This window comes from Homo sapiens, chromosome 10 (assembly GCF_000001405.40).
Source record: "Homo sapiens chromosome 10, GRCh38.p14 Primary Assembly".
NCBI classification, from domain to species: domain Eukaryota; kingdom Metazoa; phylum Chordata; class Mammalia; order Primates; family Hominidae; genus Homo; species Homo sapiens.
This window is the reverse complement of record NC_000010.11, coordinates 98,390,121-98,407,840: the sequence shown is the minus strand read 5'-3', so window position 1 is coordinate 98,407,840 and position 17,720 is coordinate 98,390,121. Positions and strand designations below refer to the sequence as shown.

The window sequence follows — 17,720 nt, the reverse complement described above, 5'->3', positions numbered from 1 at the left end:
GCTGACCCCGGGTGACGGTCTCCATCCCTGCTGACCCCGGGTGACGGTCTCCATCCCTGCTGACCCCGGGTGACGGTCTCCATCCCTGCTGACCCCTGGTGACGGTCTCCATCCCTGCTGACCCCTGGTGACGGTCCTCATCCCTGGTGACCCCTGGTGACAGTCTTCATCGGATTCGGTTTCAGGGTTTAAGTTCTCCCGCGCGTCCTACCTGCTCAGCCTGCTGAGGCCGCAGATTTACACTGATCTGGAGCTGAAGGTAGGGCCCCCCCGCCGGCCCGATTGCACGGAGGGAGGAGGCAGTTCCATCTTCCCAACCTGTGTGGGGGGTCCCTGTTCTGTGCCCGAGGTGATGCCCGCCCCTGAGGGCTCCCTCTTCCACCCAAGTCTTGTGTATCCCACGTGGTCTCCCTGCTGCATTCCCACAGATGGGTTTTGTCTCGTCCATGTAGTGTCTTGAAAAGTGGGAAATTTCATCCAAAAATCAGACTTCTTTTGAAGAATGAGCTTTTTCACCCTCAGGCCCACGTGGGACACCTATCTGAAGCCTTGGGCGCCTGAGCTTACAGCTGCCTTGGGACATGAGCCCGATTTCTGCCCTCATTGAACTTGAGAGCTGCTTCCCTCTCTTGGCAGCTGGAGCAGGAAGTGGGGCCTGGGGACTTTTCTGGCTCCCGGGCTTTTTGGAAGGTTCCTGGGAGTCTCATCTGGCGCTGTTTGCCTCTCTTAGTCTGCTGACCTTTGTCCACAACCTGGCCCAACCCTGCCCCCCACCCTTTCACCTTCCTTCACCCCCACTGTCTTATAAACCGCGTCACCACATTCTTGAGGCTGATTGGCTTCTACCTGCTTAGTGCCACTGTCACTCACCACTCAGAGAAAAGGGTTCTTGGTGCTATCTGCAGCTGCCACTCACGTTGGTGCCATCTTTTTTTTTTTTTTTTTTTTTGGGACGGAGTCTGGCTCTGTCGCCCAGGCTGGAGTACGGTGGCGCGATCTCAGCTCACTGCAAGCTCCTCCTCCCGGGTTCATGCCATTCTCCTGCCTCAGCCTCCTGAGTAGCTGGGACTATAGGCGCTACCACCACGCCAGGCAAATTTTTTGTGTTTTTAGTAGAGAAGGGCTTTCACCGTGTTAGCCGGGATGGTCTTGATCTCCTGATCTCGTGATCCACCTGCCTCAGCCTCTCAAAGTGCTGGGATTAACAGGCGTGAGCCACCGCACCCGGCCACGTTGGTGCCATCTTTGCTCTAAATTCAAAATTTTAAACTAGTAAGATGTCCAGCTGTTGTTCACAGCTCTTTGGCTGCTCTAACTGGTTCATGTAGAGAGTTCTTCAAGCCACTGAAACAGAGTATGTGCATCCTGGTACCAGGACTGGATGAAATCTAGCCAGGCCTGGGGATGGGTCGCTGGTCTCCAGTCCAGAGCAGACCATAGCAGCAGGCAGTTTATAAATGCACCACTTATTCATAGTGGCAGATGTTGGGGAGCAGGGACCCTCCTTTTGGCAAACCTGATTTAAGAGACTAAGAATCACAGAATGGACATTTTCACTTGATTATTCTCTTTCTTTAAAAAACGTTACTTATTTGAAATGGTATTTGTCATAGTGTTCCTTGAACTAGAAGCTCCCAAGTGAACTGAGTAGATGCTTTAACCTCTGCCTTGGGCTGCAGTAATAGGAGTATGGAGCTCAGAGCAGGGAGAAAGCAGTCCTGTTGTGTGATACGCAGGACTCACCCCATCTGGAGCACCTTGTTTTAACAGGACATTGACAGCCTGGAGGGCATTGACAGGAGGACAACTAAACTCCTTCCAGGAATATTGTCTTTCCAAAACTATAATGGAGAGCGTTTATTTTACCAGCATCACATCTTGGGCTATGACCTTAATGTTCTATCTCAATTGATCCTTACCTGTAAGTCAAGAGCCATGTTATAATCAGGGAACTAAAGTTCAGGGGTTAAATTCACACAGCTAGAAAGTGATGGAGAATTCAAGCCAAGGCCTGACTGTCTCCTACTCCTTGTTCTTGAGCTATGATGCGCTCAGGCCTCTTGGTACCAATACCGCCCAGACTCACACGTCTCTGGCTCTTGGTACTTTGCGGTGAACGTGGTGATAGAGTGCCCCTGGCAGCTCCAGCGCAGTGTGCACAGAGGCTGAGACTGGAGCTGCTGGAAACCGGCCGGCTGCGTCTGCCTCCCTGCTCCACAGCTCACCAGCTGCGTGATTTCACCACGTGGTGCCTTCTTTTCCTCATCTGTAAGAGGGAATAGTAACAGCAGCTGCCTCCTAAGGCCACATCAGCACAGTGCCTGGTGCACAGAGGGCTCAGTACTTGTCGCTATTATTATTACCCCCATTTGGCACTTGAGAAAACTGAGGCTCCAGAAAGACCCATGGCTGGAGACTACTCACCCACCCTGCCACTTATAAGGCTGTATCCAATTAGAGTGAGCCCTCAACTAAAGTGAGAGGCTTGGCTTTGGCACCACTGCCCCTCCTCCCCTCCTTGAGCCAAAGCACCCTCCACTGACCCGCTGTGGTCCCCACCAGGGCCTGCCTCCCCTTCCTGGGTGTTAGTTTCCACAGCTGTCAATGCGAGCACTGACTTGGATCACCTCCCGGTTCCATCCACCTAGTAAATGAGTTTGCTTTTGCAGCGGCCCTGCGCTGGATGATGGAATCCAGGCTGGAAGGGCAGAGCCTTTGCACTGGTGGAGAAGGGGGTGTGGAGGGGGGCTTTTCATCCCCTTCAGCCATAAGCCACCTTCCCCATCTCCCCCTGGGCCAGCCTTGACCTCACTGCCAGAGGCAATCCCATCCTCCCTCCCCTCCCTCACTGACCTTCTGGGTCTCACTCAGCCTTATTCATTTTGCTCTTGCTTTTCTCCTGGAAATCTCTCTAAGGTAGGGCTCTAATTTGCAGGGCCACAAAGTATGACCTGGGAAACTGCTGGGGAAACTGCTGGGGAAACCCCAGGGGTTCTTGCTCACGAGTCTGATTCTGTGGCAGTGGTGGGGCCCAGAAACGGTCGTTTTTATGGCATTCTCAGGTCATTCTGAAAGAGGAGGCCCCCAGAACATAACTTTGAGAACCACACCCTTTAAATCTCTTGTATCTCTGGTCCTTTAGACACACACACAGATACACCCTTCACACACACACACCCTTTCCAACAATTTCCACCCAGGATGACTGTGCATGCTGAGAACTCTCATGGGGTAAATAAAAGAAGGGTTTGCTTTCATTTTGTTTTTTTGGGTTTTTTTTCTGTTTTTTAAGAAAAAAGCTTCATAATCCGAACAAATCTTGTGGATATAATCTGATGGTTATTTAACATTCCCCTTCTCATTCAGACTCCACATAATTAAACCTATTGTTAAAAGAAAAACCTTCACTAAATTAAATTTAATAGAGTTTAATTGGGCAAAGAATGATTCATAAATGAATCAGGCTCCCGAGCTGGAGTATGCTCACAGTCTCCAGCACAGCTCCATGGTAGAAGAAGATTTATAGACAGAAAGTGAAAAGTGATGTACAGAAAATGGAATTGAGGTACAGAAACAGCTGGATTGGTTACAGCTCAGTGTTTGCCTTATTTGAACGCAGTTTAAACAGTTGGTCCCCTTTGATTGGCCAAAACTCGGCGATTGACACAGAAGTAGGTTACAGTCTGTTTACGCCTCCTTCTAGGTTATAGTTCACTAGGAACAGAGAAACCTTTAGGTTGAGCTTAAAGTATTTAAGGAGGCAGCTTTAAGCTAAATTTGATTTAACACCATTAAGAATGACAGAGCCTCCATTTAGAAGAGCCTCCATTTAGGTTTCATTATGAATCAAATGAAAAGTGATTCATAGTCAATTAGTTATACTTAAAATAACTTTTGGATTCCTCTTAGGTCCCTGATTTGGAGGGTTTATTCGTTCATTCAGTCCATGTTTCTGAGCACCTGCTATGTGCCAGGCACTGAGAGAAGCCCTTGGGTGTACGGCAGTGAACTAGGAAGGCAAGGACACTGCTCTTAGGCAGAGAACTTCAGGGAGAGTGCCAAGAAGAAAAGAAAAGAAGGCAGCATTAGAGAAAGAGAGTGGAGATTCCAGCCTAGATGGTGACCAGGAAGGACATCTTCCTCAAGGAGGTGACATTTGAGCTGGTATTCAGGTACCAAGAGGTCACCAGCAGCAGCCATGTGGACATCTAAGCAGTCTCCAGTCAGAGGGAAGAAGAGAAGGACCCACCCAGGCAGGCGTGAGCAGAGGGCAGGTCAGTGTGGACAGAGCAGACAGGCAGAGAGCACCAGATGGGGGTGGGAGGGGCAGGACTGCATTTTATCCAAGTGCAGCGAGAAGCCAGTGAGGTGTGTGATCAGGAAGTTCACTGCTAGGATTTGTGACTTTACAAAGGTCAGCCCACCTGCTGGCTGGTGAGGACTCGGAGGAAACAGGAGGGGGTCGCATGTGGAGCACTAGGCCGCCGCTGCAGCGGTTCCCAAAATGGCGGCTTGGAGAGACGCGCACAGATTCTGGAGGCAGCGGATGGGATGTCAAGGATGACCAGGAGAGAGACTAAGGATGCCTCCTGGGTATGAGTGAGTTTACTACATTAAGAAGAACGAAGCTGGAAGTTTCTCTAGCTTAGAATAAAGAATGTCTCCATCTTAGGGATAGGAGGGACCCCAGCCGTCTCCTGGCCCCGGCCCCCGCCAGCATCGGAAATCTCCTCCACAGAGTGTCCAGAGCTGCGGCGAGCCTGCCCGCCTGGAGCATCTCCAGTGTGGAGCAACTCCAGCGGTAATTGTTGGAAAAGCCTGTTTTTGGTTTCCTCGTGCTTTTCTAAAACGTCTACTCTCCGATCTCATTTCTCTCCTCTGGGGCCATACCTTGTCTGCAACCTAGCATTCATTTATTCAGAGTCGACGGAATGCTTATTAACTACACTGTGTCTACACGCGGAGGGTACAGCGGTGAACAAAACAGACAATGCCCCTGACTTCACAGGGCTTACATTCTACTTGGGGAGACAATGAAAACACTAAATATGTGATTAGCCATGTGCTGACAAGTGCTTTGGAGAAAAATATTGCAGGGTGAGGGGGCAGGGAGTGCGGGGGAGGCCTGGCTGATAAGGTGGCATTCCAGCCAAGACCTCGAGTCGTGAGGTTGCAGGCCACGGATCTGGAGAAGGAAGCCTCTCGACAGCAGAAACTGGAGGCGGCACAGGCCCCTTTTGTTTTATCTGTGCCTGCTTTGAAGAAGTGGATGTGCTCTTGGAAAATTCTGTGTGCTAATCAAATATTTGTAAATCAAATCATATTTTAAATGCATCAAAGAAACTTCCATTTAAAGTGACCCTGGAGTAAATGAGTCTGCAAAGTAAATAAAATGTTCTGATGTGAATAATTTATCTACCTTGTAAGTATAGATTTTCACATAACCATTGCTTGATTGTGTCTTTCTAAATTTAATTATTTATTTCTGAAGTGGGGCAGTTACAGACCGGTGCTGAGAGCTGGGGCTTTGCAGTTACAGAGCTGTGGTTTTGAAACCCAGACCTACCTCCTAAAGTGACCTGGGACAAATTATTTAACTCCTATGAGCCTCTCGTGTTGCTTTTGTACAATGAGGATAATAAGACAGCCATGTGCCACCATGTTGGTCAACGATAGACTATATACAGTGGTGGTCCCATAAGCTTACAATGGAGCTGAAAAAATTCCCGTCCCCTAGCGATGCCATAGTTGCACTGCAACATATTATTCATGTGTTTGTGGTGATAAGCCTACTGTGTGGCCAGTTGTCAAAAAGTCTAGTACATATAATTATATACAGTACATAATACTTGATAGTAAATGACTTTGTCACTGGCTAATGTATTTATTATACTATACTTTTATTATTATTTTAGAGAGTATTCCTTTTCCTTATTTAAAAAATTCACTGTCAAACAGCCTCAGGCAGGTCTGTCAGGAGGTATCCAGCAAAAGGCATTGCTCTCTAGGAGATGACAGTGCCACGTGTTACTGTCCCTGAAGACCCTGCAGTGGGGCAGGATGTAGAGGTGGAAGTCAGTGACATTGATGATCCTGACCCCGTGTAGGCCTAGGCTGATGTGTGTGTTTGCATTTTACTTTTTAGCGAAAAAAGGTTATAAAGTAAAAAATAAAAATAAAAAATTTTAAAAACAGAAAAAAGCTTATAGAATGAGGATATAAAGAAAATATTTTATATAGCTGTACAATGTTTGTGTTTTAAGCCAAGTGTCTTTTTAAGAGAATCAAAAAGGTTTTAAAAATTAAAATGTTTATAAAGTTTAAAAGTTTGCAGTAAGCTAACCTACTGAAGAAAATTTTTTAATAAATGTAGTGTAGCCTACGTGTACTATATTTATAAAGTGTGCAGTAGTGTACAGCAATGTGCTGGGCCTTCAGTCACTCACCACTCACTCGCCCAGAGCAACTTCCAGTCCTGTAGGCTCCATTCATCATGAGGGCTCTATACAGTATCATTTTTCTTACCTTTTATGCCATATTCTTAATGTACCTTTTCTATGTTTGTTTTTTTTTGTTTTTTTTTTTTTGAGACAGAGTCTTGCTTTGTCACCCAGGCTGGAGTGCAGTGGCGGCAATCTTGCCTCACTGCAACCTCTGCCTTCCAGGTTCGAGCAATTCTCCTGCCTCAGCCTTCCGAGTAGTTGGGACTACAGGTGCGTGCCACCATGCCCGGCTAATTTTTGTATTCTTACTAGAGACGGGGTTTCACCATATTGGCCAGGCTGGTCTCGAACTCCTGACCTCGCTGATCTGCCCGCCTTGGACTCCCAAAGTGCTGGGATTACAGTCACGAGCCACTGTGCCCAGCCTAGACATGTTTAGATACCCAAATACCATTGGATTACAGTTGCCTCCAGTATTCAGTGCAGTAACATTCTGTGCAGGTTTGCAGCAACAGGCTACACCCCACAGCCTATGTGTGGTAGGCTATCAGATCTAGTTTTGTGTAGGTACACTCTGTGATGCTCAAACTGTGATGAAATTGTCTAGCAATGCATTTCTCAGAACATATCCCCATCGTTAAGTGATGCAAGACTGTACTTACAAAGTTATTGTGAGGTAACCATTGTAAACCCTAGTACAGTCCCTGGCATGGAATGAGTGTGTCATGCTGTGATGTGGTATGACATGGCATGGCATAGTGTGGTGTGATATGGCATGGTATGGTATCACATGGTGTGGTAGGGTGTGGTATGACATGGTGTGTGTGGTGTGATGTGATGTAGTGTGGTATGGTATGATGTGGCATGGCATGGCGTGGTGTATGGCATGGTATGTGTGGTATGTATGGTATGGTGTAGAATGGTATAGTGTACTGCGATGTGATACAGTATCGTCTACCATAGGGTACTTGGGCAAGAGGGCTTTTTATAAACTTATATTTAAAAAACAGACACCAGGACCATACACTTGGGAACCTACACACAGGTACCTAAATGGTCACACAAACACAATCGGAGAAAGATGATGGGCAGAGACCACAGAGCCATTAATATGTGGCCCATGCTATTTGTGTTTTGCAGAAACATGGGCTGAGGCTTCATCTTCGAAACCCCTACTCCTTCACCCCCATGCTGGAAGAGGGTGCAGGCAGCAAGGTGCCCAGGTGCCTTCTGCTGGGCACAGACATGGCAGAAAACCAGAAGCAGATCGCCCAGTTCTCCCAGAAGGATGCCCAGGTAGGGAAGGCGACCAGTGACTGAGCTCCTGCTCCCTCAGCAGCCTAGAGATGGGCCTGGTTGGATTGTCCTAGAACAATTGTTCAAAGGCCATGGACACTGCGCCAGGCCACCCCACGTTCCTAGGAGGGCTCCAGTTGGTGGCAGCTCTTGATCTCAGGCACTGCGAAGAGAAGCGGGTGGAGGATGCTGATTAAGACCAGTGGACTGGGAGGCCTGCTCACCTGCGTGTGTTCAGTATGGGGCCACTGTCAGAGGGGCTGTGCCTGCTGAGTTCAAGAGGAAATGCACTGGCACGTTCTTACACTGGCGTGTGCTTCATGCCCCTCCAGCTTTCAGGCAGAGTTCCAGGTGTTTGTCCACATTAAAGCACATGAAAGCCAAAAAGGAGGATGAGGGAAGATCAGAGAAAATTAAGGATAAATAAACTGAATCAGGAACTTAGGACAGGAGAGTTCTAAATATTTATTCAGTGTGGCATCCCAAGGCTCCCTCCTGGCTGCCCAAGGCAACAAAGTGTCCATGATGGTGTGCAGGTCTGGTGACAGGATGAACACATGTCGGATGGAGAATGCACTTTTTTCCCTTGGAACTGCATTCTAGGAACCTGCTGGGTGGCCTTGTCTAGATGAGCCACTGAGTTCCGTAAGGGCCCTGCCACAGTTGGTTCTGTGGATATAGAAAGATTATTTGAATGGCCATTTTGTACCAAGCCTGGATATTAGCTGAGATGTAGCATTAAATCATATCTCAGTGGAGACATTTTTATAAGAAGAACCTAGGTTAATAGAACCCATGTACATTGCTTTTGTTGTGTTAATCTATTGCTGGGTAAAACTTAGAGAACCACAGACACACAGCCTACATGTCTCTTCCACCAGCAGTTTTCAAACCTGGCTGATGATCAGAATCACCTGAGGAGCTTAGCCTTTTATTTTGTTATTTTATTTTATTTGTTTTTGAGACAGGGTCTCACTCTGTTGCCCAGGCTAGAGTGCAGTGGTGCGATCTTGGCTCACTGTAACCTCTGCCTCCCGGGTTCAAGCAATCCTCCTGCCTCAGCCACCTGAGTAGCTGGGATTACAGGCATTCACCACCATGCCCGGCTATGTTATTTTTAATTTTTTTGTAGAGACAAAAGTCTCACTATGTTGCCCAGGCTGGTCTGGAACTCTTGAGCTCAAGCAATCCTCCCACCTCCACCTCCCAAGGTGCTAGGATTACAGGCATGAACCACCACACCCGGCCTGAGGAGCTTAGCTTTTTTAAAAGTGCTTCTTTGGTGGTTCTTTTGTGCAGCAGATTGGAGACCACCACCTGCATCCTCTCGTCCAAATCCTACCCATCTCAGAGGCACTTGAGGGGATTCTGCACAAGGCCAGGTCCCCGGGCCTGCAGGACACTAGCTGTGGCCCTACATGCCAGCGACCACACACGCTGGAGGCAAGTGCCCATTTCCCATCGTGGAAAGTGAGGAGCTTGATTTCTGGTTTTGTCTTTCCATGCTGTCATATTAAAGGCCTGCTTAGAGAAAGCTGTTTAACTTCATTTTTAATAAGACTTCTCGAATGTATTTTAACATGGAACTTTTCTTTATGTAACACTTATTAAAATGCCATGGGTATATCCATGGGTAGAGATGGACCAAAATTCAAAGTCCAGGGCTAAGAAGAGTCAGGTAGGGCCTCCAGTAGCACAGGCTTCTATCACTGCTCCTGTGCCCTCCAGGGAAAGGAGGGTGGGTGTCAGAAACCAGGCTTTCGAAAGTGGATTCTGACATGGGAGCTTGTGGGGTGAGAGGAGGCAGGCTTCTGTGACTGCAGGTGATGAGACGGCATGGGAGACGACCTACAGACCGGAAAAGAATACAGGCAAAGAGGTCTAACTTCTACCAATAATATAGGAAAGGACAGAAGGACAGGCCAGCGTGGCGGCTCACGCCTGTAATCCCAGCACTTTGAGAGGCCGAGGCAGGCGGATCACTTGAGGTCAGAAGTTCTTGACCAGCCTGGCCAACATGGTGAAACTCCGTCTCTACTAAAAATACAAAAATTAGCCGGGCGTGGTGGCAGGTGCCTATAATCCCAGCTACTCAGGAGGCTGAGGCAGGAGAATCACTTGAACCTGGGAGGCAGAGGTTGCAGTGAGCCGACATCGCACCACTGCCCTCCAGCCTGGGTCACAGAGCAAGACTCCATCTCAAAAAAAAAAAAAAAAAAAAAAAGAAGAAAGGACAGAAGGAAGAAACTTCTAAGTGGTTTCATGATTTATCGCAGAGACCACACCCTAGGATTGTTGCCAGTTTTCTGTGGGTGACACTTCGTGTTAGCCAGCATTAGCTCCTTGTCCCTGTCACCACTCCCAGTGATTCTCCTATTGCCCAGGGTCTCCTGACCACCACCACCCCACCCCATGCACTCTTCCTGGTGTTGATGTTAACCCAGAGACCTGGAACTGGGGGAGCTCAACAGAGCCAAGCTGGGCCACAGCGGGGAATGAGGCCTGAGGAACCGTCAAGCTGTGGGGGGGTGACAGGCCATCTGGGGACAGCATGGAGGGCAGGGATGTGGACAGTGGGGCCTTAATGCAGAGCTCTGTTCCAGGTCTTTCCCAAATATGAGGAGTTCATGCATCGCTTGGCATTAGCCATTGACCCTCTGCTGGATGCGGCCCCCGTGGACATGGCGGCCTTCCAGCATGGCTCCTTGCTGCAAAGGATGAGGTCGCTCTCCACCCTCAAGCCCCTGCTGAAGGCAGGTAAGTCCAAGTGCAGGCACCAGGGCATGATGAGTGACCTTCAAGGAGGTGAGCCCATTGTCTCGATGCCTAGACACAAGCCTGAACCTCCATGGCAGCCTGCCAGCTGGGATCAGTTAACATGCTGCGATCAATTAGGGGCAGCCTGGAGCACTTTGTTGAGAGCATCTTAGGCTGATATGCCTTTAAAATAGAGCCTGAGACCAAGGCTTATGCGTGGGTAGTTCATTTGGAAGGGTGACCCCAAGACACAAAAATAGCAGAAAGTTGGGGTGAAAGTGGACAGAGAAAGAGTCAATACCAGAGTGTGTGATCGCACTAGCCAGCACTGTGGGTGACAAGATGCTGGACCTGTGTGGGCCCTCTGGGAAGCCTTATGAAAAGCATTTGAGGAACCTTCTCGGGAGATGGAAAGGGAAATATTTATCCATTGGGTTCTATCTCCCATTGGCCAAGGGTTGCCTCACAGGGCATTGACTCCCACACTTCTGGGCTGTGCATCTGTGGGTGCCAAGTAGGTTCCCATGAGTGCCCTGCCCTGGTGCCAGAGAAGCCCTAGGGAAGAAGTAGAGAGGCTCACTTTTCAGGACTGAAGTGAGTTGCTGTGGAGTTGCCTGTGTGAAGCTGATCAAAGCCTGCTTGGAGCTCAGCATCATGGCTGTGGCTAGAATAAGATATAGGGGCCAAGAGATTTGAAGAGCTGCCCCCATACAGGAAGAATGCTAGATTTGGGCTCAGCAAGGAGAAGTTCTGTGATCAATTAGTAATGTCTGCCATGAGTATGCGAATGGAAGGCTCATTAAGTGTGCTATTATTTTCTACCCTCCTTGAGGGTATACAGACCAGTTTAACCTCTATATCCTAGAAAAAAAATCATTTGTTTCCCACATGTCTTCGTGGTTCAGCTGATTCCAGCTGGCTCAGCTGATCTGGTTTGGTCTCAGGCATGTGTTTGTGTCTGCAGCAGCTCAGTGGAGGCAGCTCTGCTCCAGGTACCTCTCGTCCTCCTTGTAGAAGCACATGCTGACCTGGGTGTGGACTTTTCACATCAGTGGCACAAGCACAGAGGGCATGCCCCAATGTACAGGCCTGTTTCAGTTCTGGGTTTGTGTCACATCGGCAAACATTCCACTGGCTGACCAAATCACATGGATGAGCCCAGAGCCAAGGAGCCAGGCAGGTTAACCAAGTTGTGGTGGGTTGAGAGGCACTGCAGACTTATACATTGCAAAGAGTATGGAGCCAGTGGAATCTATTACAAATGCAAAAAGTAGACACTGCCTCTCTCTCAGATAACCAGTCCAAGGAGCTCTGTGTGAAAAACAGGCAAAAAACATTTATTGAGCAACTACTATGTGTCAGACACTAAGCTAGGCCCAGGGGCTGTAAGGCTAGAGACCATGATTTCTACCCTGAAGGCCTTAAAGCCTAGTTTCTTTCTGAAATGGTCTGAATCAGGGTCATAGGAATGGATCAGCCATGCCAGCCTTCTCCCAGGATATGGGCCTTCCAGAGTTCGAAATAAGGGAATAAGGTACAAGTTTAAAATTTTCCAAAAATAATGCTAACTGCTTAAATGTATTAAGTACCCATGAACTTGCAAATGCTTTACCTAGCTCATTTAATCCTCACCGTAGCCCTTGGGGTGTAAAATAGGATTCCCATTTTACAGGTAAAGAAGCAGGTTCAGAGATGTTAAAAATGTGTCCCAGGCACTGCAGCTAGTGAGAGGTGTGGCCAGGACTCAAGCTGGATCTGTCCCTGCATTGGCTGTGCTATACCACCTCCTGGCAGGAAGTCTCAGCATCCTCCATGCTTTTATCCCCCAGGCCAGGTCGGAGGGTTTCCCTGTCACCTGTTTCAACTTCTGTTTTGTGGATCTTCTCTTGTAGGCCGCATCCTGGGAGCCCAGCTTCCCCGATATTATGAGGTCCTCACAGCTCCCATTACCAAGGTGAGTGGTTCCCCAGCCTCAGGCCCGACCAGGCAGTGAGAGGGCCCTCCTCCCATCCAGGCTCCTAAGCCCTTCTCTCTGCTGTTGTGCTGTCCAGGTGCTGGATCAGTGGTTCGAGTCTGAGCCTTTAAAAGCCACTCTAGCCACAGATGCAGTGATTGGAGCCATGACAAGTCCCCACACTCCGGGGAGTGGGTGAGTGAGGGGGGTGAGGTGGGACACAGGAGTGGGGCATGTTCCCCAACAGGAGTGAGGACAACAGTGGCAGTGGCAGCAACAACAGCTGCCACTTAACAGAGCTCACCCAGTGAGCCAGGAACCGAGCCAGGCACATCACACACGATCCACTTAACCCTCAGAGCAACATCTGAGAACTGCGGTTCAGAGAAGGGAGTGTCTTGCCCAAAGCCACTCAGCTGGTAAGTGGCAAGGCTGATTTCCAGCTTGAGGTGTCTGACTCCCCAAAATCTTCCTTTTTAGTGACTGTGCCCTACTGCTTCACTAAGAAAAGCCTCTCTCCCACCTCCCGCTTGATAGCTCAAAATTAATATCTTCTTTTCTCTCCTCTTCCCTTCCCTCTTCTACCTCTCCACTCCCGCAAACGCCCATTCTCCCTTCTCTCTCACTGTTCCTTCCCCTGGGCTCTGGTACACACTCACACAGACACCTCAGGATGGACAGGAAGCTGCCTTTTTCTTTATGAGTGAGGGTTTGTGCTGACAGCCCAATCCGAGAGGTGGCAGTCAGACACAGCAAAGCCTGCAGTGTGGTCTGACTTAATGAGCCCCCGCAGAAGCAGGAATGGAAGGCTGTGTGTGTGTGTGTGTGTGTGTGTGTGTGTGTGTGTTGGGATGGAGAATGCAGCCAAGGGTTGGGCCGTTTCCAGTGCACCAGAAGATACAGCTAGAAGCTAGAAGCTAGAAGGCGTCGACGTGGCTTTTCTCTCAAGGGATGAGCACACCCTCGGAAGTGGTTTTTCAACACATATTAAGCCGGCCCCAAATTCCCCCAGGGCGATGGAGATGGGGGCTTGGCAGCAGTTGCCACACATTGGCCAAGCTGTGATCTACCAGCCAATCTGGATCTTCCAGCTGGGGCCTCCTGCCCTTTTCTCTTCGGATCCCTGGGAGGCTTAACCAGTGCTCCGTTTGTGATCTTTAAGTAATCTGTTCCATCATTAATTCTTCCAACAAATATGGATGAGCGCTTGCCTGTGCTAGGTGCTGGGGATACGGTAGTGAGCGGAGCAGATGTCCTGATGGGTGAGAGACACAGAGCGAGTGATGATGATGAAGTGGCGTGAGTGTGATGCTAGGAGGAGCAGCCGGGACACAGCCTGGTCTAGGGTCAGAGAAGCCTCTACATGGAAGAGGTGTTTGATCTGAGACCCAAAGGACAAAGAGGAGTTAACAAAACATAAGATGAGGGAGGGAGGGGCTTCAGGCCGACAGAACAGCAGGGGAAATGCTGGGGTTGAGAGAACGTGTGATCCACCCAGGAAATCGAGAGGTTCTGTTAGTTAGGAGGATGGGATATGGATAGGGGGACAGGATGAGGGATGAGGCTGGAGTGCCTGCTAGAAGACTGGCCATTATCCTAAGAGCAGTGCCAAGCCGGGGAGGCTTGGAATGGTGATAAGTGAGTGGCAGGAGCAGAGCTGGGCTTTAAGATAGGGCTCCAGGATATATGTGGACAAGACCTGCAGGAGAGAAAGTGTGGGAGAGGGGGTCCAATGAGGGGCACTACTGCAGCAGCATAAGGAAGAGAAGAGAGGCTGAGAGGTGGGATGACCTTGAAAGCCCTTTGGAGGCTGAGTTGGTGTTGCTTTGTGGATGTAGATGGGGAAGGATGGTAGCGGTCAAGGCTGACACCTGGATTTCTGTCGGAAACAGAACCTCCTGTTGAAAGGTGCCGTTCACTGGGATGGGAAAGATTGAAGGGGAAGCAGCTGGAGAATGGGGAAAAGGTGGTGGGTTTAAGATGCTGCCAAGAAAGGGTCCAAAGGGAGATATCTGTGGGTAGCTGGACACCGGAGCTGGAGCTCAGGAGAGGGCTGGAGCTGCAGGTTTGGGCATCGTTGCCTTCTTTGTGGTAATAAGCTATGCACATAGACACACTTGTTAGGGAGAGGGTGTAGAGAAGGCAAAGGGCTCTTACAAGAACTTGAGCTCATTGAAGGCTGCTGGGAGAGGGCTGGATGGTGGCAGGGAAGGGCTGAAGATCAAGATGGAAAGGAATAGTTGCACCTGGAACTCTGGGGAGATGAGATCCCACCTCCAGGATCTGAGTCGGATGGTCTGTCCACAGGTATGTGCTGCTGCACCATGTGATGGGGGGCCTGGAGGGAATGCAGGGGGCCTGGGGCTACGTCCAGGGGGGCATGGGTGCCCTCTCTGATGCGATCGCAAGCTCAGCCACCACACATGGAGCAAGCATCTTCACTGAAAAGGTGAACGGCCCCTCTACCCCACCCCAATTATTAGTAAGGATCCCAGGACAGAACAAAGTCTCAGATTTGGAAGGTCCCTTGTTTTACCAATGAACAGAGGGGCCATGAGGGGATGGGTTGCAGAATCAAGAGATTAAGGTCATGCAGTCTGTTAGTGGCTAACCACCCCCTTGGAATTCCCTGGTCACTGAACTGAGACTGAGTGTTTCATGGAGAAGCTGAGGCTTCATGGAGAAGCTGCAGAACTTGGTGGGATGGGTTTGGGATGAAGAAGTTGTGAATGCCTAGGAGCAGCACAGACCATGGAAATCCCGGAAGATCTAACATGGATTTCCCTTCCTGCGGTTTCTGGGGCCTTGTTCTGGTGGGCTCTAGACAGTGGCGAAGGTGCAGGTGAACAGTGAAGGCTGTGTTCAAGGAGTTGTGCTGGAAGATGGCACAGAGGTGAGAAGCAAAATGGTGCTGTCCAACACATCACCGCAGATCACCTTCCTGAAGCTGACGCCACAGGTGAGGCTGTGGGCAGGAGGGTGGAGCTTAGATGTCTGCCAAAACAGGGGTTAGAAATCGTGGGGATTGAGGGAGCCAGGATTGCATCAGGGTGTGAGATGCAAAAGCCAAGTCTCTGCATTTGGGAAACAGGGGGGTAAGGGCAGGTAGCAAACGGGGAAGAAGCCTCACAGGTGGGGAGAAGGGGCCAGAGAGGTGAAGTGACCAAGATTCCGGCCATTGGCAGAGCCAGAGCTAGAACCCAGGTCTGACTTTCAATCTAGAGTTATTTCCACAACTTTCCTACTTTCCTGATTTCTCCCCTCTCACCGCTCTAATTCCATTGTCTTTGTCAATGATCTGTTATATTATCCATGATTATTAATTAATCAATTAACAAAGAGCCACAATACTTCTGGGCATACAACAAGAAATACTGGCACCCAGAACTGGAGACTTCAGTTGATCTTGGTGGATTTCAGCTGCTTAAGGCTTGCTCATGCGTCTGCAGTTGGCTGTGGGTCAGCTTGCCGGCTGCTGATCTTGGCGGGACTCCTTCATGTGCCTGGGAGCTGGCTGGTGGTGGCTGGTCCAGGACCGTTTCTGCTGGGATGACCGGGTGGGGGACTCGGCTATGCTCCATGTGTCTGTCCTCCTCCAGCACGGTAGTCCAGGCATGTTCTCAAGGTCTGGCAAAGGGCAAAAGCAGGCAAGCTCAAGCATGCATGCAAGCATCACATGGTTTGATCTCTTTGCATCCTGTTTGCTAGCATTGGCCAGACCAAGTCTCATGGCCAAGCCTAGAGTCAGAGTGTGAGAGCACTGCAAGGTTACACGGAAGTGGGTGTGCAAACAGGGAGGGGTGAGCTTTGGGGGCAGTTTTTGCAATTGACTTACCCTGTGCTCAAAAGATATGATAACATGTATACGCACATGAAGCTCCTAGCCATTCTTGGGGGCAATTCTTAGGGGCAAAGCACTACTTTTTCTGAGTGATTCCATTACTAAAATTCAACAAACATCAGTAAAAAGAAACTTGTTAAGGCAATTCTGAGATCGTCGAGGCTTCCAAGAGCTTACAGACCAGTAGTGAAAAGAGGCCTGCAAACCACTGACCCCTTTGCAAGCAGGGAGAGGTGCGGACTATTTCACAGTCAGAACTGCTGGCCAAGCGCGGAGGAGGAAGTGGTTAGAGCTGAGTGGGAGGGGATCTAGGAAGGCTTCACAGGGGAGGTGGTTTTGGCTGAGCTTTGAAGGATGAAGAGGATTTCCGGAGGGAGCGACTGAGGGATCTTCCTGAGCAAAGAAAGAAGGCAGCTTCCTTGGGGCCTTGGACATCTGAGGCCTTTCATGGAGCCTTCTCCTTCCAGGAGTGGCTTCCTGAGGAGTTCCTGGAGAGAATCTCTCAGCTGGACACCCGGTCGCCTGTCACCAAGATCAATGGTAAGAGGCACACCACATTGCAGCACTGTCTCCTTTGACCCATCTGAGTGAGAAACCTCCAGGCTGGGGGCAGCTGAACTCAGTCATCATCTCCATTCCCGGACCTCCAGCCTGTGTCCCCCTGCAGCCTGGTCAGAAGGTGAAACACTTGCTCATACTTTCCTACTCCCGTCCGCCACTGAGGGTAGCAGGGTGCTGGCTGTAGAGGGAGGACCTTGTGGGGCTAAGACCTGACCCTCCTCTTTGGTCCCTCAGTGGCCGTAGACAGGCTGCCCAGCTTCCTGGCGGCCCCCAATGCTCCCAGGGGCCAGCCGCTGCCCCATCACCAATGCTCCATCCACCTGAACTGTGAAGACACCCTCCTCCTTCATCAGGCCTTTGAAGATGCCATGGATGGCCTGCCTTCCCACAGGTAGGGGCCCTGGACTTTATGTTCCCTGATGTTCTTCCACATGGGCCTGGGAGGCGGGGCTGTCCATGCCACCCACAGCAGGGATCAGGCCTGGTGTTCAACCTTCACAGTGACTTAGGATCTGCCAAAATCCATACTCCTAAGGACAGGAAGTGCATCCCAGGTGAAAAATCTGAGGATGAGGGCAGGTAAGGGGTGAAGAGCGGCTCAGGTTAGCAGAAGGGGCAGAGGGGCAGAGCACTGCCCAGGAAAGTGCTGGGGCTGGGGAAGAAGAGGAGAAAATGTGTTCTGGGAGAGCAAAGGAAGTTCTCTCATTCAGAGCCCGTCAGAGAGCACGCACTCACCGAGTCCCCTGCTCCGTAGCCTTTCTTTTTCTGATAATCTGCCTTCTTGCAAAACTTCTAAAAGCATTTCCCACCTCCCACTGCAGCTGTATTTCCATTCTTCTGGAACAGGCAGGGGCGCTATAGGAGCAAG

The 17,720-nt window shown here is 49.9% G+C and overlaps 1 protein-coding gene and 1 non-coding gene across 24 annotated transcripts in view, besides 2 other annotated features; both read left to right on the top strand.

Moving 5' to 3' along the window:
- The window catches only part of PYROXD2 (pyridine nucleotide-disulphide oxidoreductase domain 2), a 31,615-nt gene that overhangs the window by 7,342 nt on the left and 6,553 nt on the right, over positions 1-17,720 (top strand). For 9 of the 23 annotated variants that reach the window (XR_007062009.1, XR_007062008.1, NM_032709.3 and 6 more), the window contains 9 exons: positions 186-259; positions 7,584-7,739; positions 10,343-10,496; positions 12,389-12,450; positions 12,548-12,645; positions 14,758-14,899; positions 15,275-15,409; positions 16,759-16,831; positions 17,087-17,243. Coding sequence is in view for 18 of the 23 variants with exons in the window: in NM_032709.3 (NP_116098.2) it covers positions 186-259; positions 7,584-7,739; positions 10,343-10,496; positions 12,389-12,450; positions 12,548-12,645; positions 14,758-14,899; positions 15,275-15,409; positions 16,759-16,831; positions 17,087-17,243 (1,051 nt within the window). In the remaining 5 variants the exon portion in view is untranslated. The other 14 variants (XM_047425882.1, XM_047425883.1, XM_047425881.1 and 11 more) reach the window with 9 other exon arrangements.
- Positions 2,871-2,920: an enhancer, noted in NCBI's record as "active region_3866". NCBI's record gives its function as "activates an Ori minimal core promoter by ATAC-STARR-seq in GM12878 lymphoblastoid cells {active_cell/tissue: GM12878}" and the evidence as "EXISTENCE:reporter gene assay evidence [ECO:0000049][PMID:35858748]".
- Positions 12,534-12,623, top strand: MIR1287 (microRNA 1287). Its single transcript, NR_031619.1, has one exon. It is a non-coding gene; the product is annotated as a microRNA 1287 (primary transcript).
- Positions 16,284-16,333: an enhancer, noted in NCBI's record as "active region_3865". NCBI's record gives its function as "activates an Ori minimal core promoter by ATAC-STARR-seq in GM12878 lymphoblastoid cells {active_cell/tissue: GM12878}" and the evidence as "EXISTENCE:reporter gene assay evidence [ECO:0000049][PMID:35858748]".